Source organism: Homo sapiens, chromosome 12 (assembly GCF_000001405.40).
Source record: "Homo sapiens chromosome 12, GRCh38.p14 Primary Assembly".
NCBI lineage: Eukaryota > Metazoa > Chordata > Mammalia > Primates > Hominidae > Homo > Homo sapiens.
The window spans coordinates 31,953,655-31,980,310 of record NC_000012.12 but is presented as its reverse complement, the minus strand read 5'-3'; the positions used below and the strand labels follow the sequence as shown (position 1 = coordinate 31,980,310).

The 26,656-nt window shown below is 43.5% G+C and overlaps 1 protein-coding gene, 1 long non-coding RNA gene and 1 pseudogene across 6 annotated transcripts in view, besides 6 other annotated features; 1 reads left to right on the top strand and 2 right to left on the bottom strand.

Moving 5' to 3' along the window:
* The window catches only part of RESF1 (retroelement silencing factor 1), a 33,693-nt gene extending 12,797 nt beyond the window's left edge, over nt 1-20,896 (bottom strand). For 2 of the 5 annotated variants that reach the window (NM_018169.4, XM_006719099.4), the window contains exons 1-3: nt 20,820-20,896; nt 19,440-19,534; nt 9,955-10,122 (exon numbers count right to left, since the gene is read on the bottom strand). The gene's annotated coding sequence lies outside the window, so the exon portion shown is untranslated. Of the gene's footprint in view, nt 1-9,954; nt 10,123-19,439; nt 19,535-20,410 lie in introns of all 5 variants that reach the window. The other 3 variants (XM_011520722.2, XM_017019550.3, XM_005253405.4) reach the window with 3 other exon arrangements.
* Nucleotides 13,120-13,189: an enhancer, noted in NCBI's record as "active region_6180". NCBI's record gives its function as "activates an Ori minimal core promoter by ATAC-STARR-seq in GM12878 lymphoblastoid cells {active_cell/tissue: GM12878}" and the evidence as "EXISTENCE:reporter gene assay evidence [ECO:0000049][PMID:35858748]".
* Nucleotides 16,756-17,256: an enhancer, noted in NCBI's record as "H3K4me1 hESC enhancer chr12:32115989-32116489 (GRCh37/hg19 assembly coordinates)". NCBI's record gives its function as "activates a minimal SCP1, AML or CMV promoter by ChIP-STARR-seq in naive and primed H9 embryonic stem cells {active_cell/tissue: H9 hESC(naive and primed)}" and the evidence as "EXISTENCE:reporter gene assay evidence [ECO:0000049][PMID:30033119]".
* Nucleotides 18,183-18,242: a silencer, noted in NCBI's record as "silent region_4333". NCBI's record gives its function as "represses an Ori minimal core promoter by ATAC-STARR-seq in GM12878 lymphoblastoid cells {active_cell/tissue: GM12878}" and the evidence as "EXISTENCE:reporter gene assay evidence [ECO:0000049][PMID:35858748]".
* Nucleotides 20,586-20,925: a silencer, noted in NCBI's record as "silent region_4332". NCBI's record gives its function as "represses an Ori minimal core promoter by ATAC-STARR-seq in GM12878 lymphoblastoid cells {active_cell/tissue: GM12878}" and the evidence as "EXISTENCE:reporter gene assay evidence [ECO:0000049][PMID:35858748]".
* On the top strand, nt 21,007-21,818 carry LOC105369725 (uncharacterized). Its single transcript, XR_931503.2, has 2 exons — nt 21,007-21,183; nt 21,507-21,818. It is a non-coding gene; the product is annotated as an uncharacterized LOC105369725 (long non-coding RNA).
* Nucleotides 21,978-22,771: an enhancer, noted in NCBI's record as "H3K27ac-H3K4me1 hESC enhancer chr12:32110474-32111267 (GRCh37/hg19 assembly coordinates)". NCBI's record gives its function as "activates a minimal SCP1, AML or CMV promoter by ChIP-STARR-seq in naive H9 embryonic stem cells {active_cell/tissue: H9 hESC(naive)}" and the evidence as "EXISTENCE:reporter gene assay evidence [ECO:0000049][PMID:30033119]".
* Nucleotides 22,775-23,274: an enhancer, noted in NCBI's record as "H3K27ac hESC enhancer chr12:32109971-32110470 (GRCh37/hg19 assembly coordinates)". NCBI's record gives its function as "activates a minimal SCP1, AML or CMV promoter by ChIP-STARR-seq in naive H9 embryonic stem cells {active_cell/tissue: H9 hESC(naive)}" and the evidence as "EXISTENCE:reporter gene assay evidence [ECO:0000049][PMID:30033119]".
* LOC100132543 (family with sequence similarity 98 member B pseudogene) lies at nt 24,668-26,458 on the bottom strand (annotated as a pseudogene).

Below are 26,656 nucleotides of genomic sequence, written 5' to 3'. Positions count from 1 at the left end.
GCCAAACCCCATCTTTACTAAAAATACAAAAATTAGCGGGGTGTGGTGGTGCACACCTGTAATCCCAGCTACTCAGGAGGCTGATGCACAAGAATCACTTGAACCTGGGAGGTGGAGGATACAGTAAGCCAAGATCACACCACTGCACTCTAGTCTGGGTGACAGAGTGAAGACTCTGTTTCAAAAAAAAAAAAAAAAAAAAGGAAAAGAAAATTTCTGGCATAAGCAAACACTAATTCATAAATATCTTTTGTTATTCATAATGAACTCTGTATGCACATACCTGAGTCTATGCTACTAAGGTGACTTAAAGTGGGGGCCCCTAGATACCATCAGGATACAGCTGGTGGTCACCAGGAAAACCAAGTATTAGACGGTTGGAACTTTTAGTTCTAACCACTGACCTCCATAAAGTGGTGGGGGGAGCTGGAGATTGGACTCTATAAAAAGTCTTGGCTGGGTGTGGTGGCTCATGCCTGTAATCCCAGCAGTCTGTGAGGCTGAGGCAGGAAGATCTCTTGAGCCCAGGAGTTCAAGACCAGCCTGGGAAACATAGTGAAACCCTGTCTCTACTGAAAATTAAAAAAAAAAAAAAATTACCCCGTCATGGTGGTGCATGCCCGTAGTCCCAGCCACCTACTCAGAAAACAGAAGGCAGTGTAGGGAGGATCATCTGAGCCTGGGGGTTGAGGCTGCAGTGAGCCATGGTGGCACCACTCCACTCCAGCCTGGGTGACAGAGTAAGGCTGTTTTTTTTAAAAAACAAAACTCTTGAACATTGAGATGTGATGAGCCGAGCTTCTGGGCTGGTGAACAGAACACACTGAAGTGCTGGGAAGGTAGTGACCTCAGAGAAAGCATACCTTGTTTGCTTTATAGCCAGTTGGTCAGAAGTACAAACCTGGACTTGTGACTAGCTTCAAGTGGGGGCAGTCTTGTAGGACTGAGCCCTTTAACTTGTGGGTTCTGATGGTAACATCAGGTAGACAGTGTCAGAACTGAATCAAATCACAAGCCACCCAGTTGGTATGTGGAGAGAATTGGTCAGTTGGGAAAAAATTCCCACACATCTGGTGTCAGAAGTACTGTGGGGCCAGGTGCAGTGGCTCACGCCTGTAATCCCAGCATTTTGGGAGGCCAAGGTGGGCGGATCATGAGGTCAGGAGATCGAGACCATCCTGGCTAACACAGTGAAACCCCGTCTCTACTAAAAATACAAAAAATTAGCCAGGTGTGGTGGCAGGTGCCTGTAGTCCCAGCTACTCAGAAGGCTGAGGCAGGAGAATGGTGAGAACCCGGTAGGCGGAGCTTGCAGTGAGCCCAGATGGCGCCACTGCACTCCAGCCTGGGTGACAGAGCTAGACTCCGTTTCAAAAAAAAAAAAAAAAATCATGAGATCATTTCAAAAATCTAAGATAAGAATTTCTGACAAAATCAAATACTGCCGGGCACAGTGCCTCACACCTGTAATCCTGTAATCGCAGCACTTTGGGAGGCTGAGGCAGGGGTATCACGAGGTCAGGAGATGGAGACCATCCTGGCCAACACGGTGAAACCCCGGCCTCTACTAAATATACAAAAAAAAAAAAAAAAAAAAATTAGCTGGGTGTGGTGGCGGGCACCTGTAGTCCCAGCTACTCAGGAGGCTGAGGCAGGAGAATCACTTGAACCCAGGAGGTGGAGGTTGCAATGAGCTGAGATTGCGCCACTACACTCCAGCCTGGCGACAGAGCGAGAGCCCGTCTCAAAACAAAAAACAAAAAACAAAAAAAAACCCCAAATACCTACATATTTAAAAAATTATAAAGATGGAAACTTCTTTTGATAAATGGTAGCTAAAACAATTAAATAGTAACATGGAAGATGCCACTATCCCTCCATTAATCATTTTACTGGAGATCCTAGCTGGTATAAAGAAAAAAATATTAGGAGTATAAGCAGAGAGGAAAACACAAAACTGAGTATCAGATGTTATACAGAAAATCCAAAACTATGTAGAGATCTTTTTGTTTTACTGTTTATTACAATGCCCAAAAATAAGGTCAAAATGCAAGAATATTATCAGCAGTAATCTTTTAAAATACCATTAAAAAAATACTTAGAAAATGAAGGATGTGTCACATCTCTAACAAACAGCTGAGTGTAAAGATATGCCATGTTCAAATATTTGAAGACAGCATTAAAGATGCCAATAATCTCAAAATTTAGGTCAAGCGCAGTGGCTCTTGCCTGTAATCCCAGCACTTTGGGAGGCTGAGCTGGGCGACTGCTTGAGGTCAGAAGTTCAAGACCAGCCTGAACAACATGGTGAAATCCTGTCTCTACCAAAAATACAAAAAAAAAATTAGCCAGGTGTGCACACCTGTTGTCCCAGCTACTTGGAAGGCTGAGGTGGGAGGATTACTTGAGCCTGGGAGGTGGAGGTTGCAGTGAGCTGAGATTGCACCATTTGCACTCCAGCCTGGGCAGCAGAATGAGCTCTTGTCTCAAAAAAAAAAAAAAAAAAAAAGAAAGAAAGAAAAAGTAATTAAGAGTCAATACAATCCCAGTGGATTTTTTGATTTTTTGGGGTAACAAGCTTGATTATAAACTTTCCATGGAAATGCAAAACAAGCATGAATAGCGAAGACATACACACACTTTTATATATAGACACTTGTTTTATGACAAAGTTAGGAAAAAAGTTCTTTTCAATACATGAAGCTAGGTCAATTGGTTATCTATATGCCACGAATGAAAATAAGCCTTATCCAATTACACAGCAAGAGACATATACAAACAAATCAATCCCAGGTAGATTATCGTTTTAAAGTTTCCAGAAACAGGCCAGGCATGGTGGCCCACGCCTGTAAATCCCAGCACTTTGGGAGGCCGAGGCGGGCAGATCACCTGAGGTCAGAAGTTTGAGACCAACCTGACCAACATGGATGGTGAAGCCCCCGTCTCTACTAAAAATGCAAAAATTAGCCGGATGTGGTGGCACACACCTGTAATCCCAGCTACTCGTGAGGCTGAGGTAGGACAATCCCTTGAACCAGGGAGGCGGAGGTTGCAGTGAGCCGAGGTCGCACCACCGCACTCAAGCCTGGGCAACAAAAGCGAAACTCCATCTCAAAAAAACATGAGAATATCTTTATGCCCTCGGGATAGGGGAAGGTTCCTATAACAGGGCACAATGAACAATAAGAAAAAAGGTCCATAAAACGGACTGCATCAAAATTAATCACCACTGTTTATCAAAAAACACCATTAAGGAAGTGAAAAAGTAAAGTCACTCTCTAGAAGATTATATTCGCAATACATAGCAAAGAGATCATATCCAGCCTATATAGGGAATTACGTAAAAAGAAAAATGTAGACAACTCAATAAAAAATAAGCATGAAGCTTAATTAAACACTGTATGAGACACTACAGTTGATCCTTGAACGTGGCTTTGAAGTGCGTGGGTCCACTTATACGTGGATTTTCTTTTGTCTATGCTACCCTGGAGACAGCAAGACCAACCCCTTCTCTTCCCTCCTCCTCCGCCTAGTTAAGATAAATGTGATGAGGATAAACACCTTTATGATGATCCATTTCCACTTAATGAATAGTAAATATATTCTCTTATGATTTTGGTTTTTTTTTGAGATGGAGTCTCGCTCTGTCACCCAGACTGGAGTGCAGTGGTGCGATCTCGGCTCACTGCAACCTCTGCCTCCTGGGTTCAAGTGATTCTCCTGTCTCAGCCTCCCGAGCAGCAGGGATTACAGGGTCCCACCACCATGCCAGGCTAATTTTGTATTTTTAGTAGAGACAGGGTTTCACCATGTTGGCCAGGCTGGTCTCGAACTCCTGACCTTGTGATCCGCCGCACCCAATCCCTTATGATTTTCTTAATAAAATTTCCTTTTCTCAAGCTTATTCTAAGAATACAGCATATAATACATGTAACATACAAAATATGTGTTTATCAACTGTTTAATGTTACTGTTAAGGCTTCCACTGAACAGCATGCTATTGTTAATCAAGTTTTGGCGGAGTCAAAAGTTAAATGTGGATTTTTTTTACTGCACAAGAGTCAGTTATCCTAATTCCTATGTTATTCAATGGTCAACTATATTTAAATGGCAAAATTTTTGGTAAGTGCTAAATCCATTATGAATATCAGAAATGTAAATGAAAACCATAAGGTGGTAATACTATACACAATGGCTAGAATTTTTTCAACTCTCAATACCACATGTTGGCAAGAAAATGGAACAAATGGAACTCTCCTACAATGGTGATAGGAGTATATCATGATCCTTAAAGTAACCAACACTTTGGAAAGACGTATGGCATCATCTACCAAGGGTTAATAAATGCAAGCCCTGAGACCTAGAAGTTTCATTCCTAGGTATGTACCAAACAGAAATGCATAATTATAACACTGCCAGCAGCATTAGGTGCAGTAAGCAAAAACTGGAAACAAACAAAATAGAAATGTATTCATATTAATGAAACACTATAGTAACAAAAATAAAAGGCTATATGCAACATGAATCTAACAAACACAAGACTGAGTGAAAAAGGCCAGAGATTAAAGAATAATCCATGATTCCATTTATATAAAGATTGAAACACAGACAAAACCAACCATCTAGGGACTGTAGTGGTACTTTTTACAAAGTGTGATGGAATAGCAATTGGTAGTTAAGTAGCATGAAGACTGCTTTTGACCAGGGTGATACTTACACACAAGTGTGTTCCCTACATAATCCACTGCATTATACACTTACCATTTGTACCCTTTCTTAGGTATGTTTTGATTTCATAAAGTTATTTTTTAAAGCTCTCTTATAATAGTAGATGCATACTATTAAGCATTTATCAAAACCCGTAAGACCCATTGGATACAGAGTAAACTCTAATGTTAGTGATGGACTTTAATAATAACATATCAGTATGACTAATCCAAGTTGCTAATAGTGGAACCTTAGAGTTTTGGAGATGGGAGGTTCCTATAAAGCTCTTATATGGGAATGCTCTGTACTATAAGCTCAGTTTTCTTTTTCTTTTTTTTTCAGATGGAGTCTCGCTCTGTCGCCCAGGCTGGAGTGCAGTGGCACGATCTGCAACCTCCACCTCCCGGGTTCAAGCAATTCTCCTGCCTCAGCCTCCCGAGTAGCTGGGACTACAGGCGCGCGCCACCATGCCTGACTCATTTTTTATATTTTTGCTAGAGATGGGGTTTCACCATGTTGGCCAAGATGGTCTCAAACTCCTGACCTCATGATCTGCCTGCCTTGGCCTCCCAAAGTGCTGGGATTACAGGCGTGAACCACCATGCCTGACCTCAATTTTCTTTAAACCTAAAACTCTTCTAGAAAATAAAGTCTATCCGTTAAAAAAAAAAAAAAAAGGCAGCCACCACATGCTGACACTCATTTTACAACTCTCAGGCGTTAGGACTCTGTTCCTCTCACTACTTTGACTAGTCCACAAGGTTGGAAGCAGAATGGGTCACAGTGTTCACTGACAGAAGAAAAGCAGCACTTCTAAGGAGAATTAATGATGCTTCATAACTGCCCGTCCCCCTCACTGTCCCCTGGCTTTTACGTCAACTTGGAGGAGAGAGTCTCATGAACTGAATTGTACCCTCCCCAAAATTCATAAGTGAAAGCCCTGACCCTCAGTGTATTTGGAGATAGGGCCTTTAAGGAGATAATTGGTTAAGTGAGGTCATTAGAGTGGGGCTCTAATCCGACTAGTATCCCCCATAGGAAGAGGGACACCAGCGATGTCGGCCCACAGAGGAAGGACCACGTTAGGACACAGCAAGAAGACAGTCACCTGCAAGCCACTGAGAGAGAAGCTTCAAGAGAACAGAAATCAAACATATTGACCCTGGACTTCTAGCCGCCGGAACTGGGAGAAATAAATTTCTCCACCCAGTCTGTGGCATTACTGTCATAGTAGCCCACGATAAGAAATACATACTTGGTCTCTGCCCATGATTCCAGACACGGGGCACCTAAAACTCTTGTAGATTGGGGTATACAATCTTTTGCACTAATACGTGGTCTTTGAACCCGGTTCCTGACACAGAGCTCCTGAGACCTTTGTAATCTCCTGAGTAACAGGAGTGTCTGGTAACATAGAGGTGACCGTAGGGTGGGGCAGCACCTGGAGAGGGCATGGAAGCGCTCACATATGCATTCCCCCATGCATCTCTTCCACCTGGCTCTTCATCTAATAGGCTTTATAATAAGTAAACTATTTCCCTGAGTTCTGTGAGCTCTAGCAAATTAATCAAATCCACGGAGGGAGTCTTGACAATCCCCTCTTTGTAACAGGTTGGTCAAAAGTACAGGTCTGGCGAAGTCAGGGGCAGTCTTGTGGGACTGAGTCCTCAACCTGTGGGATCTGAAGCTTTCTCCAGGTAGATGATGCCAACATGTAATTGAATTGTAGGACACCCAGTTGTTGTCAGCTGGAAAACAGTTTGCGGATGGGAAGAAATCCAAATACATTCTGGTGACCAGAGATGAAGTGGTCAGTTGTGTGAAGAAGTTTTGGTTTTCCTATCTCAAACACAGCCCTAGCAATTAATACAGAGCATATGGGTAGGAAGGGAAACTATCTTTATGTTAATTTGGTTTTTTTTTTTTCCTCCATCCCTCTCCTTCACTGGCATAGAAGAAAACTGAAAACTCGAAAAGCACTCCGGAACGACCTAAATTGAAGTTTTTGGAAGATTGCCTACTAGCTACACAAATAGACTGTGAAAGGAAAATACAATCGACCCTTGAACAACATAGGGATTACGACTTAGGGTGGCAGTAGAGTGGCAGATGCAGAAGAAACTCCAAGTGTAGCCAGACAAGGTAGTGTGTGGATGCAGTCCCAGATACTCAGGAGGCAGAGATGGGAGGACTGTTTGAGCCCAGATGTTTGAGGCTGTAATGTGCTATGACTGTACACTGCACTCCAGCCTGGGCAACAGAGAGTGACCTCATCTCTTAAAAAAAAAAAAGTCAAATCCATGTGTATGTGGATCCACATGGGTCAAACTCACATTGTTCAAGGGTCAGCTGCAGTCTCTAGGATGGCATAATCTACTTGTGGATATAATGTATTCTTAGAACTTTCAAGAATATATTCTAACACAGATTACCATAGACAAGTTTCCATGGTCCATCACTACCATTTCTCTGAGAGAATAAATTCTCGCCCCAAGATCTCTGCCAGCCTCCATCACTGATAGTTTAATATAAAAAATACTTTTAAAAAGAATTTGTGCTTCCATGAAGTTACAAAAAATACAGTGAAAATATCGTTAAAGAAATTAAAAACAGAAAAAACAAAGAGAAATTAAAATGCTACATTAGAAAATACTCATTTATGCAAAATAAACCCCACTAAGGAATAAGAAAGGAATAAAAAGACGAGACATAAAAACAAAAAGTAAAACATTAGAGGTAAATGTAATTATATAAAAAATAACATTTTTATATAAACAATTCTGAGAATGTAGGAATAAACTTTCTCACACTTCTGACACCAGATGTGTGGGTGTCTCACCCCACATAACAAGCAATCAGTTCTGCAGTGTACACACCAGGTGGGTGTCCTCTAATTCATTTTAATTCCAAGACTATCTATATGAAGATAGTGTCAGATCTCATCAGTTTAGGGCTCAGTCCTGCAAGACTGCCCCCACTTTTTTTTTTTTTTTTTTTTGAGACGGAGTCTCACTCTGTCACCCAGGCTGGAGTGCAGTGGCACCATCTTGGCTCACTGCGAGCTCCGCCTCCCAGGTTCACGCCATTCTCCTGCCTCAGCCTCCTGAGTAGCTGGAACTACCGGTGCCCACCACCACGCCTGGCTAATTTTTTGTATTTTTAGTAGAGACAGGGTTTCACCATGTTAGCCAGGATGGTCTCGATCTCCTGACCTCGTGATCCACCCACCTCGGCCTCCCAAAGTGCTGGGATTACAGGCGTGAGCCACTGCGCCCAGCCGAGACTGCCCCCCACTTCTGATGCCAACACCAAGTCCCAGGTTATTTTACCTGTGCTTCCGACCGACCAGCTGTAAACTGGGATTCCCATGTCCCGCTCCTTTGGTTTGTCGTGTTAGAGCAGCTCACAGAACTCAGGGAAACACCTTATCAGTTTATTATAAAGTATATTACCAAGGATTCAGTTCAAGAGATGTAGAAGGCAAGGTCACATGAGAAGGGGCACAGCATTTCCATGCCCTCCCTGGGTACGCCACCCTCTAGGAACCTCCACCTGCTCAGCAACCTGAAAAGCCTTCTAAACTCTATCCTTTCCGGTTTTATGGAGGCTTCATTGCACAGATCTGATTAATTAAACCATTGGCTATTGGTGATCAACTTAACCTCACCCCCTCCCTCTCAACCAGGTGCACCTTCAAAGGTGTAAGAAATGAATTCCTTTTCTTCATAAAGGCCCCTGTTTCAGTTATTCTGCTATAAGTAACAGAAAATGGACTAAGATAGACAATTGGTACCAGGAATTAGGGGTAGGGCTGAAAAGTCCCAACCCTTTAATCGGGCCTTGGTCTTTCAGGTGACCAGCCCTCCATTCTGAAACTAGGGGATGTCAGCCATAAGTCAACTCATTAGCATACAAAAAAGACATTTATCACTTTGGAGACTGCTCGAATTTTAGGAGTGTATGCCTGAAAACAGGGATAAAGACCAGAGATATATTTCATAATATCACAATCCAAAAGACAGAGAATGTCAGTCTGGATTTTAAAAACTATCCAACTATATGTTATTGTTTCCAAGAGATATACCTTAGATCCAAAAACACAGACTGAAAGTAAAATGATGAAAAAGTATCACACAAATAGCTACAAGAAAGCTGGAATGCAGGCCAGGCACAGTGGCTCACACCTATAATCCCAGAACTTTGGGAGGCCGAGGTGGGTGGATTACCTGAGATCAGGAATTCAATACCAGCCTGACCAACCTGGTGAAACCCCGTCTCCACCAAATACAAAAAATTAGCCAGGTATAGTGGTACATGCCTGTAATCCCTGCTACCTGGGAGGATGAGGCAGGAGAATCACTTGAATCCGGGAGGCGGAGGCTGCAGTGAGCTGAGATTGTGCCACTGCACTCCAGCCTGGGCAACAAGAGTGAAACTCCGTCTCAAAAAAAGAAAGCAGGAATGCCTATACTAGTATCAGACAAAACAGACTAAGACAAAAAATGCTGATAAAGAGATGCATTTTATAATGATAAAAGGATCAACCCATCAAGGTAACAATTACAAACATATATGCACTGTTGTCTAAAACGAAGGTTCTTGAGGTAGAAATAATCTGATAAAGGTTTACTGGAGGCCAAATGTGAGGATCAATCTGGGAAGACATACCAACAGAGTTCAAAGTGTTCTGGAGTCCGCTACAAGTTGGAAGGCTTTTATATGAAATTATAGGAGAAGGGAGGGGGACTCCTAATACTCAAATTGTCTTTTTTCGTTGGAGGATACAATACTGAGGTTATAATCATTGGCTACTGATTGCAACATATAGGCTAAAATGTCTAAGTGCAAGAAAACTTGCATCAATAAAACCTGATTTACAAATAAAGCAGCACCCTTTTGAGTGTTAGGTTATGCATTAATCAGTATACCCATTTGAGGAATGTGTAAGATTCTTTACTCAAGGACAGGATGTCACCATCTTGTATCACAATACCTCCCCAAAGCAAGTTAATCTGGAAGCTTGTTTACTTAAAACTGTCAAATGTGATCTGTAGGTTATTAATACCTAAAAGAGCATCAAAATACAAGAAGCAAAAACCACAATTCACCAATAAGAGTGGAAGACTTCAATTCCCTACTTTCAACAATGAATAGAACAAATAGGTGGAAAATCAACAAGGAAGTAGATGTCTTAAATTCCCACCCACATTCCCTTCCAGTGAGGTGAAAGAAAAAGGTCCAGAGTACCTCAACATGTAGGTGGGTGACTAACTGTCCATTAGTAGACTTCTAGGTATAATTCTGCTTCTCTTCTTTTGCAGATTACTATGGATTGAATCCAATAGTCCAAGTATTCTTGAAGTTGTGAATTGCAAAAATTAATTTGTGAATCAGGAAATAATTAGAAGTAAACAGCTGCAAGAAAGCATAAAGATAATTATGGATGTGGACTTTCATATTAAAGATCTCACTAAGATTAACAATATCTGTGAAATTTAAAAAATATTCTATATCCACACAATGCAAATAACTGAAAAGTTGTCAACCCAGCAGCTTCCTTTATTTGTAAATTGGGCTTACTACAGAAAATTATAAAGCAAAAAATAATCTAAAATTATACCTATAGGAAATAACCATATTACTATCCATGTTAAACACACATGCACAAGCACACATACACATGAATAGAAAGAAGTATAAGAAAATAGACCTAGGCTGGGCACAGTGGCTCACACCTGTAATCCCAGAACTTTGGGAGGCCAAGGCAGGCAGATCACTTGAGCTCAGAAGTTCGAGACTAACCTGGGCAGCATTGTGGTAGCACACACCTGTATTCTCAGCTACTTGGGGGGCTGAGGCATTGGATGAACCCAGGGGGTTGAGGCAGTGGTGAGCGGGAATCATGCCACTGCACTCCAGACTGTGCGACAGAGCAAGACTCCGTCTCAAAAACAAAAGAAAACCAAACAAACCAGAAAATGAACCTAATATTGTGAATATGGCATGGTGGCCAGGTCTGCTGTAGGTCAGATAAAACAGCAAGAAATAGAATATGGAAGTATAAACTGAGCCACAGCAAGAATTTTGGTTTATTTTTTTTGAGACAGGGTCTCACTATGTCATCCAGGCTAGAGTGTAGTGGCACGATCTCAGCTCACTGCCAACTCCACCTCCTGGGCTCAAGCAATTCTCTCACCACAGCTTCCCAAGCAGCTGGGACTACAGGTGAATGCCACCGTGTGGCTAATTTTTTTAATGTTTTGTAGAGATGAGGTTTCTCCATGTTGCCTAGGCTGGTCTTGAACTCCTGAGGCTCAAGCCATCCCAGCCTAAGAATTGTTTTATACACAGGGGTTACCACTGGCCAGGTGTGGTGGCTCACACCTATAATCTCAGCATGCTGAGAGGCTGAGGCAGAGTCCAGCAGTTCAAAACCAGCATGGGCAACACAGTAAGACCCAGTCTCTACAAAAAAATAAAAATAAAAATAGAAACACTAGCTAGGCGTGGTGGTACACGCCTATATTCCCAGCTACTTGGGAGGCTGAGATGGAAGGATCACTTGAGCATGGGAAGTCGAGAGTGCAGTGGACTATGGTAGTGCCACTGTACTCCAGCCTGGATGACACAGCAAGATCTGTCTCAAAAAAGGGAAAGAAAAGTGGGTTGACAATTTATTAAAGGTAAGTGGAACATCATCAGAGTGAATCAAAGTACTATTAACAGCCAATACGACAGGCATAAAAGTCTTTCAGGCCAACCCAAAAGACACATGCATGTAGATAATGTCTAGCAGGTTTCAGTATTTGCTGAATAAACAAACATTATCTGAACACCCCATTAAAGAGAAGTCCTAGGCCGGGCGCGGTGGCTCACGCCTGTAATCCCAGCACTTTGGGAGGCAGAGGCGGGCGGATCACGAGGTCAGGAGATCGAGACCATCCTGGCTAACACGGTGAAACCCCGTCTCTACTAAAAATACAAAAAATTAGCCGGGCATGGTGGTGGGCGCCTGTAATCCCAGCTACTCGGGAGGCTGAGGCAGGAGAATGGCATGAACCCAAGAGGCGGAGCTTGCAGTGAGCCGGGATAGCGCCACTGCAGTCCAGCTTGGGCGAAAGAGTGAGACTCCGTCTCAAAAAAAAAAAAAAAAGAGAAGTCCTAATGTAAACTTATAGATGGGAAAAAGTCCTGACCACTTCTGTTTCCTTTTCTATCTATGCCAACCACAGACATAGCATGATTTCATCTGTAAGCATTTCAGTACCTAAAAGACGTAGGACTTAAGAAATAAATAATATACATTAAAATACTATTCTTATACCTAAAATATATAAATTCGCTCTGGTATTTTAAATTGAAAACTTCCCTTATGGCTTTTTAAGTTCCACTTCTTATGTTCCACAAAGGAAAGTTTATTTGAAGAGTATCCACTGATATGGTTAAACTGAGTAAAGTCTATTTTTCATTGAAAACCTGACTTGCAACATAAGCATTCGAAAAATTAGAGATACCTGTAGAAAGTTAACAAACCACCAATACTAACAATTCAGTGTAAAAAGCCACTTTTCAGGAATTCCAAATGTAACACAATTTATTCAACCTGTACTAGCTCTGGCTTTCTGTCACCTTAGTCACAGAAAAAATTAGCCTATCAGTCCTTAAATAGGCTTTCTAGAATCCATTTTTCTAAGCCCAGATGGTCCTGGACCACAATACAATGGTATGACTTAATAATTTTGACTTTACAATGATGCAAAAGTGATACAGGCATTCAGCAGAAATTGTACTTTGAATTTTGATCTTTTCCCGGGCCTGTGATAGGCAGTATGATATTCTTCCACGCTGGGTGGTGGCAGCAAGCCATAGCACCCAGTCAGCCACGTGATCATGAGCATTAACAATCAATGAAAAACACACACACACACAAAAAAAACAAAAATCCCCCCTGCGGAGGCAGGCTGGTGTTGTGGGGGGTGGGGGTGGGCGGGCGTGCAGGGCTGCCCCTCCCACGGCACATTAAAAAAAACAAAAAACCAATCAATGGTGTACTGTGTTAGCTAAGTTTTTTGGATGTTGTGTTTTCCCATCCCATCATGTCTATAAAACCCCATTTTTGACTTACATTTTCTACTTAATACAGGTTATCGAAATGTAACTCCATCGTAAGCTGAGGTACATCTGTACTACTATAAACAACTAACATTTGAAAATCTGTATGTAAAGAACTATGTGGAATGCTTCATATACTTTTATCTCATTTAAGTATCACAACAAATTAACAAAGACTCGCAATCCTCCCTCTTGCAGCACAGTGGTTAGAAGGGGCAGAACAGTTCTCTATGCTTCTGTAACTGCAGTCAGCAAAAGGCCAAATGGATTCATATATTACTAAGTCCAACAGCAAAATCAAGATCAGTATCCCCAGCCCCACGGGATGACACCAAGCCAGATGAGAACACCAAACTGTGGCCATTTTATAGCCAGCAAGTATACCCCCCAAGGTGGTAAAGTCCTATGCACAATTGAAACCAAGGAGGCAGATGAGAAACTGCTTTGTGACTGTTTCTCACAGGGCTGCTTTTCTCTCACTTTGTTCTTGGAGGACCTGCAGGGTTGTCCTGCCAGAATATGGGTCAGCCTGTGATTAAGCCTAAGCTTTGCCTCCATGGTCTATGAGAAGAGCAAGTCATCAGGGCACCACGGTGAAGCTGTTCACCTACAACTCTGCCTTCCCATCTTTCATGTATCCAGCTACAAACTCTATTCAGAACCACAGGCCATCCAATCAGATATCCTAATCCATTGTACTTTGTCTTAGGCAACACTGGATTAAAAAGTGCCTGCAATCGTGATTCCCAGCAGGATGATCACACCTATTGTGGAGGACATACCAAACGTTCCCCATGCAGAGCCAAGTAAGCTAAATATATCCCAACTACCAAGCTTCACCAGTGAGAGCCACAGGGCTTTCTCCCTAAAAAAGGGAGAAATAAATTGCTCTACTTTTTCTGACTCGTTAACACAGGTACAGCATGAAGTGCTGGCAATCACACATCTTGACTGGCCAGCAGGAAGTTCAGACCAATGCAACAGACTATCATCATTCAGGCTAGAATACTGACACTAGTCTGTTGTGCCTTCAGAGCAGAGAAGCCAGAGACAAATTTTAGACCATGTTTTCTATTTGTATTATTCCCTAAAATGGGAATTAAAGACAACAGAGAACACATGAAGCGGAAGCCAGTTACCCTACGAGAATTCTGCCAAGTAATTCATTTCGGAGCCCTCTGGATACCCAACTCAAGGAAACATCTACTAAATCAAGCTTGTCCAATCCGCGGCCCATGGGCAGCATGCAGCCCAAGACGGCTTTGAATGAGGCCCAACACTAATTCATAAGCATGATTAAAACATTATGAGATTTTTTTTTTGCAATTTTTTTTAAAGCTCATTAGCTATTGTTAGTGTTAGTGTATTTTATGTGTGGCCCAAGACAATTCTTCTTCCAAAGTGGCCTAGGGAAGCCAAAAGATTGGACACACCGTGTACTAGAGGTCTGGTGATCTTAAATATCTGAAAAGCGCTGACAAGCACCCCCAAGTATACATGACACATCAGTGTGTGGCAGGCGGGTACAAACCATATTAAGACAACACTGTGTTGAGGTAAAAACTGTATTCGAAGTATCACTTCTTTTTTTTTTTTTTTTTTGAGACGAAGTCTCGCTCTGTCACCAGGCTAGAGTGCAGTGGCGTGATCTTGGCTCACTGCAACCTCCACCTCCTGAGTTTAAGCGATTCTCCTGCCTCAGCCTCCCCAGCAGCTGGGATTTCAGGCACACGCCACCACGCCCAGCTAATTTTTGTATTTTTAGTAGAGATGGCTTTTCACCATGTTGGCCAGAAGTATCGCTTCTTCATCGCTCCTATTATGAGTGAGTCAATTTTCTGCCACTGGAGATAGACAAAATGCCTTCAGTGGAACAGAAGAGTTCCTCTAAACCATGCAGTTGAGGGTAGCTGTCCAGGTTCTTGGCGTCTTGAACAAAGAACTGAACAAACCACACAAGCAAGGCAGCCAAAGCAGAGACTTATTTTAAAGGACAGCACACTCCACAGGGTGGGAGCGGGGGCAGCAGTGGCTCAAGACAGTCAAGTTACATAATTTTCTGCAGTTTAAATACTCTCTAGAGGTTTACCATGGATTCACGTTATGTAAATGAAGTAGTGGCCAGCCACTAGCCTGATTGGTTGTGGGAGGGGACCAATCAGAGGTACTTTCATTTTCTGACTGCCACTCAGCAACTTTGACACAGAAAAAGGAGGGGTTGAAAAGGGAGTAGCCGGCAGGGAGCAGTGGCTCACGCCTGTAATTCCAGCACTTTGGGAGGCAGAGGCACGCTGATCACTTGAGGTCAGAAGTTCGAGACCAGCCTGGCCAACATGGTGAAACCTCGCCTCTACCAAAAATACAAAAATTACCGCGGTGTGGTGGCAAGTGTCTGTAATCCTAGCTACTTTGGAGGCTGAGGCAGAAGAATCGGAAGCGGAGGTTACAGTGAGCCAAGATCACACCACCGCACTCCATTCTGGGCAACACAGTGAGATTCAGTCTTAAAAACAAAAAACAAAAAAACAAAACGACAAAACTACAATAAACAAGACCATATAGTACTGACACAGGACAGGCATTGATCAATGGAACAGAACCTAGAACCCAGGAGTAAACCCTCACATTTATGGTCCCTAGTAAGGAAGGATCAGAATCCAGGATATCTTAAAAACTTACAACCTGACAATCCAAAGACAACACAAATTTAAGGCCAAAAGTTTTGAATAGATACTTCTCCAAAGAAATCAACATGCACATAAAAAGATGCTTAACATGACTAATCATCAGGTAAATGCAAATCACAACCACAATGAGCTACCACTTCAGGCTCACTTCTATGGCTATAAAAGTTAAGTGTCTATGGATGTAGACCAACCATCTCTCAAACATTGCTGTATAAAATTGTGCATGTCTATTCACAATAGCAAAGACCCAGAATCAACCTAAATGCCCATCAACGGTAAACCGCATAAAGAAAACAGTACACATACACTAGGGAATACTATGCAGCCATAAAAAAAGAATGAGATCATGTCCTTTGCAGGAGCTTGGAGCTAGAGGACATTATCCTTAGCAAACTAACACAGGAAACCAAATATTGCATGCTTTCACACATAAGTGGGAGCTAAATGATGAGAACACATGGACATGTAGAGGGGCTCAACACACTGGGGCCTATAAGCAGGCAAAGCGTGGGAGGAGGGAGAGGATTTGAAAAAAAAACAACTAATTGGGTACTAGGCTTAATACCTGGGTGATTAAATAATGTTCCACAAACCCCCATGACACAACTTTACCTATACACGTACCCCCAAACCTACACACGTACCCCCAAACATAAAACAAAAGTTAAATAAAAAATAAAGTGGTAAATCTACTTTGGATAATAGCCTGGCAGTTCCTCAAAATGTTAAACAGTTATCATAACCAAGGAATTCCACTCCTAGGTATTTACCCAAAAGAAATAAAAATACACGTCTACATAAACACTATGAATGATCATAGCTGCACTATTCACAGTAGTCAAAGAGTGAAAACGTGTCAAACGTCTGTTAACTGATGGAAGAATAAGCAAAAGTGGCATATCCATACAACGGAATATCTGGTAATAAAAACGAATGAAGTAACATACATGTGTTAACATAAATGAGCCTTGAAAACATGCTGGATGAAAAATATTATGACTTCAATTATATGAAGTGTTCAGAATATGCAAACCTACAGAAGTAGATTAATGGTTACCTAGGGAAAGGTGCGTTGGAGAAAATGGGGAGTTACCACTATTGAGTATGGAGATATTTTGGGGGTAATAAAATATTCTTAAATTGACGTGGTGATGGGTGCACAACTCTGAATATACTAAAAACCACTGAAACTGTACACTGGGTGTAAATGAGTGAATAAATGGCTTATGAATTTTATCTCTAACTATAGTTACAAAAGGCATGCTCTGAACAACTTGAAGCTGCTTGCATCTGGAGATGTCAGGGCTGCCCAGTGGAGGGATGGTCTGCCTGAAAACCAAAGCAGAGGACAGCAGAGCTCAAAGATACAGTGTCCCAAATCTTTAAAACTCTCTTTTGGATTTAGATCCTGGATCCATCAAAACCCAAAGGTTGTGCTCCATGAACTTTTTTTTTTTTTTTTGAGACAGTCTCGCTCTGTCGTCCAGGCTGGAGTGCAGTGGTGTGATCTCAGCTCACTGCAACCTCCCCTCCTGGGTTCAAGCAATTCTCCTATCTCAGCCTCCTGAGTTAGCTGGGACTACAGGCGCATGCCACCACACCTGGCTAATTTTGGGGTTTCACCTGTTAGCCAGGGTGGTCTCGATTTCCTGACCTCATGATCCACCTGCCTTGGCCTCCCAAAGTGCTGGGATTACAGGCGTGAGCCACTGCGACCAGCCCATGGACTTTATTTTCTAAGACAGAGTCTCACTCTGTCACCCGAGCTAGGGTACAGTGGCGCGATCTCAGCTCACTGCAACCTCTGCCTCCCGGATAGCCGGGATTTCAGGCATGTGCCACCACGCCTGGCTAATTTTTTGTACTTTTAGTAGAGATGGAGCTTCACCATGTTGGCCAGGCTGGTCTCCAACTCCTGACCTCAGGTGATCTGCCCACCTTGGCCTCCCAAAGTGCTGGGATTACAGGCATGAGCCACCGCACCCGACCCTGATCCATGAACTTTAAAAGTATGTCATCTAATGAATTCTCCTTTGGGGCTTGAAAAATAATAATCACCTTATGGTTTCTGTTTCTTAAAACTTCACTGGACAATACAATTTCTTTTAATACACTTTGTCATTTTAATCACCTTATTTACAAATGAAACCTTGTAATTTGATACATCAAGAGAATCTTAAGTTACTGTCATTAAATCTTTGCGATCATGAAAACCAGGAGCATAAAATGTATAGTTCCAATCTCACTTGAGATTATTTACCTCAACAGCCTCCAACTTTGCTCTTCACTTACAAGTACACTTAAGGTATTAGGAATAGTGTAAGTATTGCATAGTTGCCACCCAACAAAGCATTTAGAATTCCTCAAGGTCCAAGATTCTTTCTTCACAATCTTCTTCCAAAGTGAATGTTTAACTTGCGTATCTATAGCCAGGGTTAGTCAACTGTTATCCTGGACTTATCTCAAAATGAATACACTCCCTGTCTGTTTTACATAATAGAGTGTGCCTCTAATGGGGGAGGGAGGGAGGCCTGATTAGATTCTTGAAATTCACCTTCACAAATGCTTTTTTTTTTTTTTTTTTAAAAAGACAGAATCTTGCTCTGTTACCCAGGCTGCAGTACGATGGGGTGACTTCAGGTCACTGCAACCTCCACCTCCTGGGTTCAGCCACTTGAGTAGCTAGGATTACAGGCATGTGCCACCACGCCCGACTAATTTTTGTTATTATTAGTAAAGATGGGGTTTTGCCATGTTGGCCAACTTGAGGCCAGGGCTGGTCTCGAACTCCTGGCCTCAAGTGATCTGCCTGCCCCAGCCTCTTAAAGTGCTGGCATTATAGGCGTGAGCCACCACACCTGGCCTACAAATACGTTTTAAGCAACATTAAATCAATTCCCTAAGCATTTGAGCTCCAATTATATCCAAGACACTGATAATCTAGGAGGGAAGAGAGATTCCTGTACAATCACAGAGATAATGTAGAACAACAAAGCTTTGGGGCAAGTTTGTCCTGCCTAGGAATTTGGAGGCATTTTTTATTCCAAACAAGCCTGCAGGTAAATCCAGATGTGGACCAGTAGTGACAGGTACTTCCTAACAAAACAAGACCTACAAAAAAGAGAATCTAAGAGGATCTACAGTGATGGGTTTAATCAATAAAAAGCTCATAAATTTAGAGCTTAAATGAACCAGCTGAATTTCTGCTAAGGCAGCATTACATGTCCCAGGCCACAAAATCTATTTCCTCTAACATGACAATAGCTAACATTTATTGGGCACTTGCCATGCATCAGGAGCTGTTTAACTGTGATATGCATGAAACTCATGTAACTCTACCATAACAATCCTATGACATTAGTGCTTGTCCCCATTTTATAGATGAGAGAACAGGCAGAGGTTTATTTTCCAGGGTTGGCTGAGTGCTACAGCCAAGATCTGAACCAAAGCAGTGTGGTTACAGGGACCATGGTCTTAATCATTAGGTGAGACTTCCTAACACACTTTGTGGTTACAGATGAAAGCCCTGGACATGATCACTTTGGCTGCACGGGAAGCATCCTCCCAGAGTGGTGCTCTGCGCCACATTCCCCTATGTGCCACCAACAGTAATAAAATATAATAAAAACAATCAAATAAACACAGCACAGACAGAAGCAGACCTCTGCCCAGGTAACTTCCACCACAATTCCCTTACCAAAGACCTCTTTCCTTATTTTGCTAAGATTAACAACTGATTTTTCAGTACTATGCCAACAACATTTCTTCTCAAGCTTTGCTGTCAATTCCATTGTGACCCACAGTTTAATTTAAAACCGATGTTGATTCACTGAGCTAGTAATTTTATTCGGTAATAGGTGAATTACTCCATAGTTGAGTGTGAATAACCGCCTGGTTAAATCAGGGCGGGTTTCTTAGAGGTGATACACTTACCGTTGAGCACAACTTTACTCTTTAATTATCGTGTACATTCCCATTTCCCTCCAAACACGTCAGTCCCTCTCCACACAGTGTTTACTTCTTTGGTCCTAGGGACAGCAAGAAACATTTTATAATAAAAGAGCACATGCTAATGTGTTTACTAGATATGACACTGCTGTGCAAAACTGTTTTCTTTTATGGCTGCACTGAAAGCATGCTAAGTTTACTGAATTCTTATTAAGTGTCCTAAGTAACAGAAATAGAAACTAGGTCTGGCCTGAAAATACCATTCACTTAAGTTAGAATTTATGTGCGCTCCTCTAGGTCCGCTATTGTAGTATCACTGCAAAACAATAATACTTTATCTCTGCACTTGTCTTTATTGGATTAATATTAAACAGAAAAAAATCCGACTGCACAGGGGAAAAAACCTAAAACCTTAACATGCATGCACATTAACAGTGACTGAAACATGATTAAAGCTAACACATTTAGCAGAAAAATGCAATCCCCAAACAAGCTCTGCGGCCCGCCTACTGAAATGCACCCGCCCGCCACTAAATGAAAATGCGCCTCAAGCTCATACACATCCTTATGTTAAGACAGTATGCACTCGATGTACTACAAATAAATTGTTTTCACGGAAATGATTCCCCGAAAGTTTGCTGCTGAACTCAGGACCCTAAGGACGTTTGCTTAGGGAATCCGTGTCCCTCGAGAACACCTAAGATGGGTATGCGTTTGTGCATTTAAAAATGCCTCAAGGAACTATTGCTGAGGAACAGAAACCATCGCCGGCGCAGAAGCGTTCGCGGACCACTTGGAGATAGATGCCAGTACAGCAATTCTGTTCCAGGAGGCTTCGGCTTAAGAGGGCCGGGGAGGAGGAGAACCCTCGGGAAATAGCAAAAAAAAAAAAAGATTTTTCTTTTTCACTCCAGCGACAGGAAAGCCTTAAAAACATAAGCAGCTCTCATACCCACCCGCCTCACCAGCCGCGCCTCGCAGTTCGACAAAATGCGTCCTAGCCTTCGCCACTCGCGACCTCTACCGCGCAGAGCCAGGCAATGAGGGAAAACAGCCAGCGAGGCCCGCCCTCCGGTGCAAGGCTCGGCATCCGCGGAGGCCCAGGGCCGGCCCCGGTGCGGCGGGCAGAAGCAAGCGCGGCGGCCCGGCCCAGCTCCGGTGGGCGGACGGCGGGACGCGCGAGCCGGCGGGGCCCGAGGCCCGGGTTCCGGGGCCGCCCGCGACTGCGTCTTTGCCGCAGAACAAAAGCGCTCTGCGCCGCGCGCAGGCCCGGACCGCGAGTGCCTCTGGCTCCCGGCTCCCGGCCCCCGCCCCGCCCGGACCCCGGAAGGCGGAGGGACCTCGGGGTGCTCGTCTCACACTTACCGACAAAGGGAAGAGGACCACCCCGGCAAGCGGGGAGAAAACCGGCGGCCTCCCGGGCCCCAGAGTTTAAGTCAAGTGGGGTCCGCCTCCAGGGGCGGGTCGAGGAGCCAGGCCCAGGATCCAGGAACAGCTACGCTCCGCCTCACGCCCGAGGCGGTGGCTGCGAGGGCCGCGCCGCCGCGGTCCTAGTGCCACCAGAGAAGCCGCGGACCCGGCCCGCAGATAACACCCGGGCTTGCAGAGCGCTTTCATCTGCCCGACGCGGAAATCTCCTGCAGCGATCTTCTACCTTCAGCGTGCATCCGCAGCACCCAGAGGGCACGTTAAAGAGAGATTGAGAACCACCAGCAAAACTGCTGATTCAGTAGGTTTGGGGTGGGGCTGAAAAATGTGCATTTCTAACAAGTTCCTGAGACCGACTGTTGCTGCTGGCCTCAGGACCAATTTTTTCTATAAAGCGCATGGAAGTCAGAGTGCACCCAAGAGATTGTTAACCCTTAAAAAACAGAAAAAAAAAAAAGAAATCAACAAGTTAGAGGCAAATAAGTGTGAAAGAAAGTGGATAGTCTATTTGGGGATTCTGAAAGTCCCTGAGGAAAGTTGACTTTGGAGACCAGATCACGAAGCACGACCTCTTAATTGCCGACCTTTTGTTATAGATTAACTCCCTTATTTTCTTGTTCCCAGCTCAGACCAGATGGCATCTGAGATAAAATACGCATTGAATAAGATAAATGACCGCTTGACTATTACATCCTTAATGTGGAATGTTAAATAGACCCTTCCCAAAAAGAAACACTGCCTTGAACCAATCAAATTGCTATGCGTTAACCTTCTATGGAAAATGTTGACATCCTGTTAAGCTTCCCAGACCCTGCCTGTGTAAACGACCCTCAAACTTCTCCCTTTCGAAGCACTGACCCCCATCTTTTGGAGTCTGTGTCCTACCGGGTCGCCATCCTCAAACTTTGCACTCAAATAAACCAATATTTAATCATATTGCCCGAATCTCATTATTAAGGTTTACGTAAGCGTTTACTTAGTAATGAAGGTTGCAACCAGGATGGCAAATCAGAGATTGTGCCACTGGAGAGGGGCAAGGGAGCTTATGTTTATAGGAATTTATTTGTTACATAAATTGTCAGATTAGTTCATTGGTGAATTAAACGAAGAAGTCTTTAGTCATTACTAGAAGAGTGCGTTTGCGTCTGTCAGAAACAAAACAAAAAAACTACATACAGAATATTCTTTCTTTTTTGGGGGGGGGACGGAGTCACGCTCTGTCGCCCAGGCTGGAGTGCAGTGGCACGATCTCGGCTCACTGCAAGCTCCGCCTCCCAGGTTCACGCCATTCTGCTGCCTCAGCCTCCCAAGTAGCTGGGACTACAGGCGCCCGCCACCATGCCCGGCTAATTTTTTGTATTTTAGTAGAGACGGGGTTTCACCATGTTAGCCAGGATGGTCTCGATCTCCTGACCTCTTGATCCGCCCGCCTTAGCCTCCCAAAGTGCTGGGATTACAGGCATGAGCCACCGCGCCCGGCCAGAATATTCTTAAAGATTGGGGGTGGCCAGGTGTGGTGGCTCAGGCCTGTAACCCCAGCACTTTGTGTCACGCGCATCCGTGTGAAGAGACCACCAAACAAGCTTTGCGTGAGCAACAAGACTGTTTATTTCACCTGGGTGCAGGCGGGCTGAGTCCGAAAAGAGAGTCAGCAAAGGGTGGTGGGATTATCTTTAATTCTTATAGGTTTTGGGAGAGGCTCCGCGGAACAATGTTTTGCGGGCAGGGGGTGGATCTCACAAAGTACATTCTCAAGGGTGGGGAGAATTACAAAGAACCTTCTTAAGGGTGGGGGAGATTACAAAGAACCTTCTTAAGGGTGGGGAGAATTACAAAGAACCTTCTTAAGGGTGGGGGAGATTACAAAATACATTGATCTGTTAGGATGGGGCAGAAACAAATCACAATGGTGGAATGTCATCAGTTAAGGCTATTTTCGCTTCTTTTGTGGATCTTCAGTTGCTTCAGGCCATCTGGATGTATACGTGCAGGTCACAGGGGATATGATGGCTTAGCTTGGGCTCAGAGGCCTGACAGTTTGGGAGGCTGAGGTGGGTGAATCACTTGAAATCAGGAGTTTGAGACCAACGTGACCAACATGGTGAAACCCTGTTTCTACTAAAAATATAAAAATTAGCCAGGCGTGGTTGTGGGCACCTGTAATTCTCAGCTACTCGGGAGGCTGAGGCGGGAGAATTGCTTAAACCCAGGAAGCAGAGGTTGCAGTGAGCCGAGATCACGCCACTGCACTCCAGCGTGGGCCACAGAAAGAGTCTGTCTCATGAAACAAAACAAACAAAAAAAGATTGGGGATCAGGCGTGGTGGCTTATGCTTGTAATCCCAGCACTTTGGGGAGGATCACTTGAGGCCAGGAGTTTGAGAGAGCAGCCTTGCCAACATGGTGAACCCAATCTCTACAAAAAATATACAAAAAACAAAAAAAATTAGCCAGGAGTGGTGGCATGCGCCTGTAGTCCCAGCTACTTGGGAGGCTGAGATGGGGGGATCACTTGAGCTTGGGAGGCAGAGGTTGCAGTGAGCCAAGATTGAGCCACTGAACTCCGGCCTGGGTGACAGAGTAAGAGCCTGTCTCGGAAAATAATAATAATAATAATAATAATATTGAGACCAGCTTTCTTGGGTTGTGTGTTGTTGCAAAAACGGTTGTGTTAGATATGAATTCTAAATTTCTCTTCAAAGAATCAATATGTCAGTATGGTCAATCTTTGCCTTTTACTTTTAAACTTAACTTCCTCGTAAAGCAACCTTTTTCCATCACCTGCTCCACCCTGACTCATTTCAATCACCTGCTCCACCCTGACTCATTCCGATTTCCTGCCCCGCCTTAACCATTTTTCCTGCCAAACCGCTCACCCCATCACTCTCTTTAAATTAGCCAATCAGAATTAGTTTAGCCTGTGCGGTCTAACCCTAGCCAACAGGGGAACGACACAGCAGCAGAGGCCACGTGCATCAGGAATAAGAACCCCTTCCCCTCCCTTGCCCAGGTGTGAGCTCACCATTGCTCCATCTGTGAGGGCGCACCCGTCTATAGAAGTACATTGCCGCCGGGCGCAGTGGCTCACGCCTGTAATCCCAGTACTTTGGGAGGCCGAGGCAGGCGGATCATGAGGTCAGGAGATCAAGACCATCATGGCTAACACTAAAAAATACAAAAAATTAGCTGGGCGTGGTGGCAGGTGCCTGTAGTCCCAGCTACTCCGGAGGCTGAGGCAGGAGAATGGCATGAACCCGGGAGGCGGAGCTTGCAGTGAGCCGAGATTGCGACACGCACTCCAGCCTGGGCGACAGAGCAAGACTCTGTCTCAAAAAAAAAAAAAAAAGAAGTACATTGCCTTGCTGAGAATTAAAAAGAAAATTTATATTCGAGTGCTATTTCTTTTGCAACACCAAAACTTTATTTATAACAGTTGTTTGTGAAGGAAATATTTTTCACAGTTTCTTCGTGGGCCTCAAAGTTTAGCAGCAGCTCAGCATGGAGTCAATAGCCCAAGATGGAGTCACTGATATCAAGCCTGGAAAATTGCTAAGCTGCATTAAGGAGACTTTTTTTTTTTTTCATGCTATTGTAGTAAGGACAACATCCATTAATGCAGAGGAATCTTTTCAAAGAAAATGAAATAGACTTAGGGTTTTTATAGGAGGAAGTAAACAAGGAAATCTTGTCTGAATGATTAAGGGATGAGAAAGGGCAGAGGTGGTTAGTTAGTGCTTGTGACATAAGAGGGCAGACTATTCCTTTGCGCTTGAGGTTTGTTGGTTTTGGTTTTTAATTTTTGTAGTCTTCAGTATCTCCTATATCCACCACCATCACCACCTCCTCCATATGGATCTACATAATCTTTTCCACCATAATCTCCCCTCCCACCATCATCTCCTCTGCCTTAGAAACCTCCTTTACCACCTCCATCCCACCTCCTCCCTCTCCCCCACCACTTTCCCATCCTCCTCTACCCCAGCCAACTCTTCCACCTCCACCCCCACAGCCTCTTCTACTACCACCTCTACCTCCACAACCACCACCCCAACCACCCCTTCCGCCACTGCCTTCTTGTCTCTTTTGCCAAGGGGGCATTTCAGAGGGTGGTGGTTCAATTTCATTTGGCCAGCCTCCCCTGTCAGGCACCCTTCCCATCAGCACCTTATTAATGGCACATGCCATCATCTGGCTGGCTCCACTGCTTGTCCTAATGATCTTGGATAGATTATCATGAGCAGCAAGTAGATGCACCATTATAATCGCTGTCTTGGGTGACAAAGCATAACACTGAGGCTGGTAAATTCTTGCTGTGTCATCTTTTCTTACCTTGGCTGTATCACACCGTGCAACGGACTGTATTGCCGCATCTAATTGTTTCATAACATTCGCTAGAGGCACTCATGTTCACAGGAAAGAGCATCATTGACTCTTTCCAGTTGTTCTGCCTGTTTCAAATTTAAATTAATTTTCAGCAGAGTGGTTTTCTTTAATTTTAATAAAAAAATTAACAATTTTTAAAAATTTGAAATAAGATGGGATCTTGCTATGTCACCCAAATTGGTCTCCAACTCCTGGGCTCAAGAGATCCTCCCATCTCTGCCTCACAAAGTGCTGGGATTATAGGCATGAGCCACTGCGTCCTGCCTGTCTTTCACCTTTGATTCCACTTGGTTTAGCATAACCAGAATGTCAGAAGTTGTTTACTTGGGTACACCAAGGTTATCACACAGAACTTGAACTTCCTGATAAATTTCATTATTTTTATCTAATTGAGAATTTTAATGTTTCTTGTTCTGTAATATCTGTGAAGCTTCAAGTTCTGTACTTAAAAATAATAGGAGTTTCAAACAGTCCTTTTTATATTTTTTTATTTACAGTGGCGCGATCTCAGCTCACTGTGGGCTTGACCTCCTTGACTTAAGCAATTCTTCCACCTCAGGCCCCCAAGTAGTTGGAACAACATGCATGCACCACTACACCCAGCTGATTTTTGTATTTTTTGTAGAGATGGGGTTCACCATGTTGCCCAGGCTGGCCTTGAACTCCTGGGACTCAAGCAATCTGTCCACCTTGGTCTCCCAAAGTGCTGGGATAACAGGTGTGAGCCATTGTACCCAGCCAGTCCTCCTTTTTTAAAATGATCTTTAGTATCTCCTGATATGAGTACAGAATATGGACATGCCATTTCTTTTAAAAAAATCATTTACCTCAAGCTGGAAGCTCTCTAGATCATCTCTTCCAGCAGAAGTCATACTTTCTTCCAAGTTGCATAATGATTTTATTTGAAAGCCTAACCATATCCTGTATAGGAATTTATATAGTTTATATATCTATTCCTTTACAGTATATACCACCTTCTTCCTGTATAAAAGCCTATATATATAATCCTATACCGTATATGCTCCTACATATAGTCCACTCTGCTGCCTTCATAAGGGCTTGCTCCTCTAGCAATGGTCCCTTATACCCCAGCACCTCCAGTGTGTCTAGCACATCTCCGTCTATTGTTGGTTCAGGACCCGGCTCTGGCCCTCTAATGGCTCTTTGGCTCAAACCTGTTCAGTGCTCTTAAGTATGCCCCAAGGTTTGAATCTTGTTTTGCAGCTCCCTAGTGATAGAACTTTGTGGGAAAATCACTTCATTTTTTTGTTTTTTCGCTCTTCTGAAAAATGGGGATAACAATAATACTTACCTTATTTAATTTTTGAGATAGTTACATGAATTAGTACATATACCTCACTAGGAGCAGTTCCTGGAACATAGCTGGACACA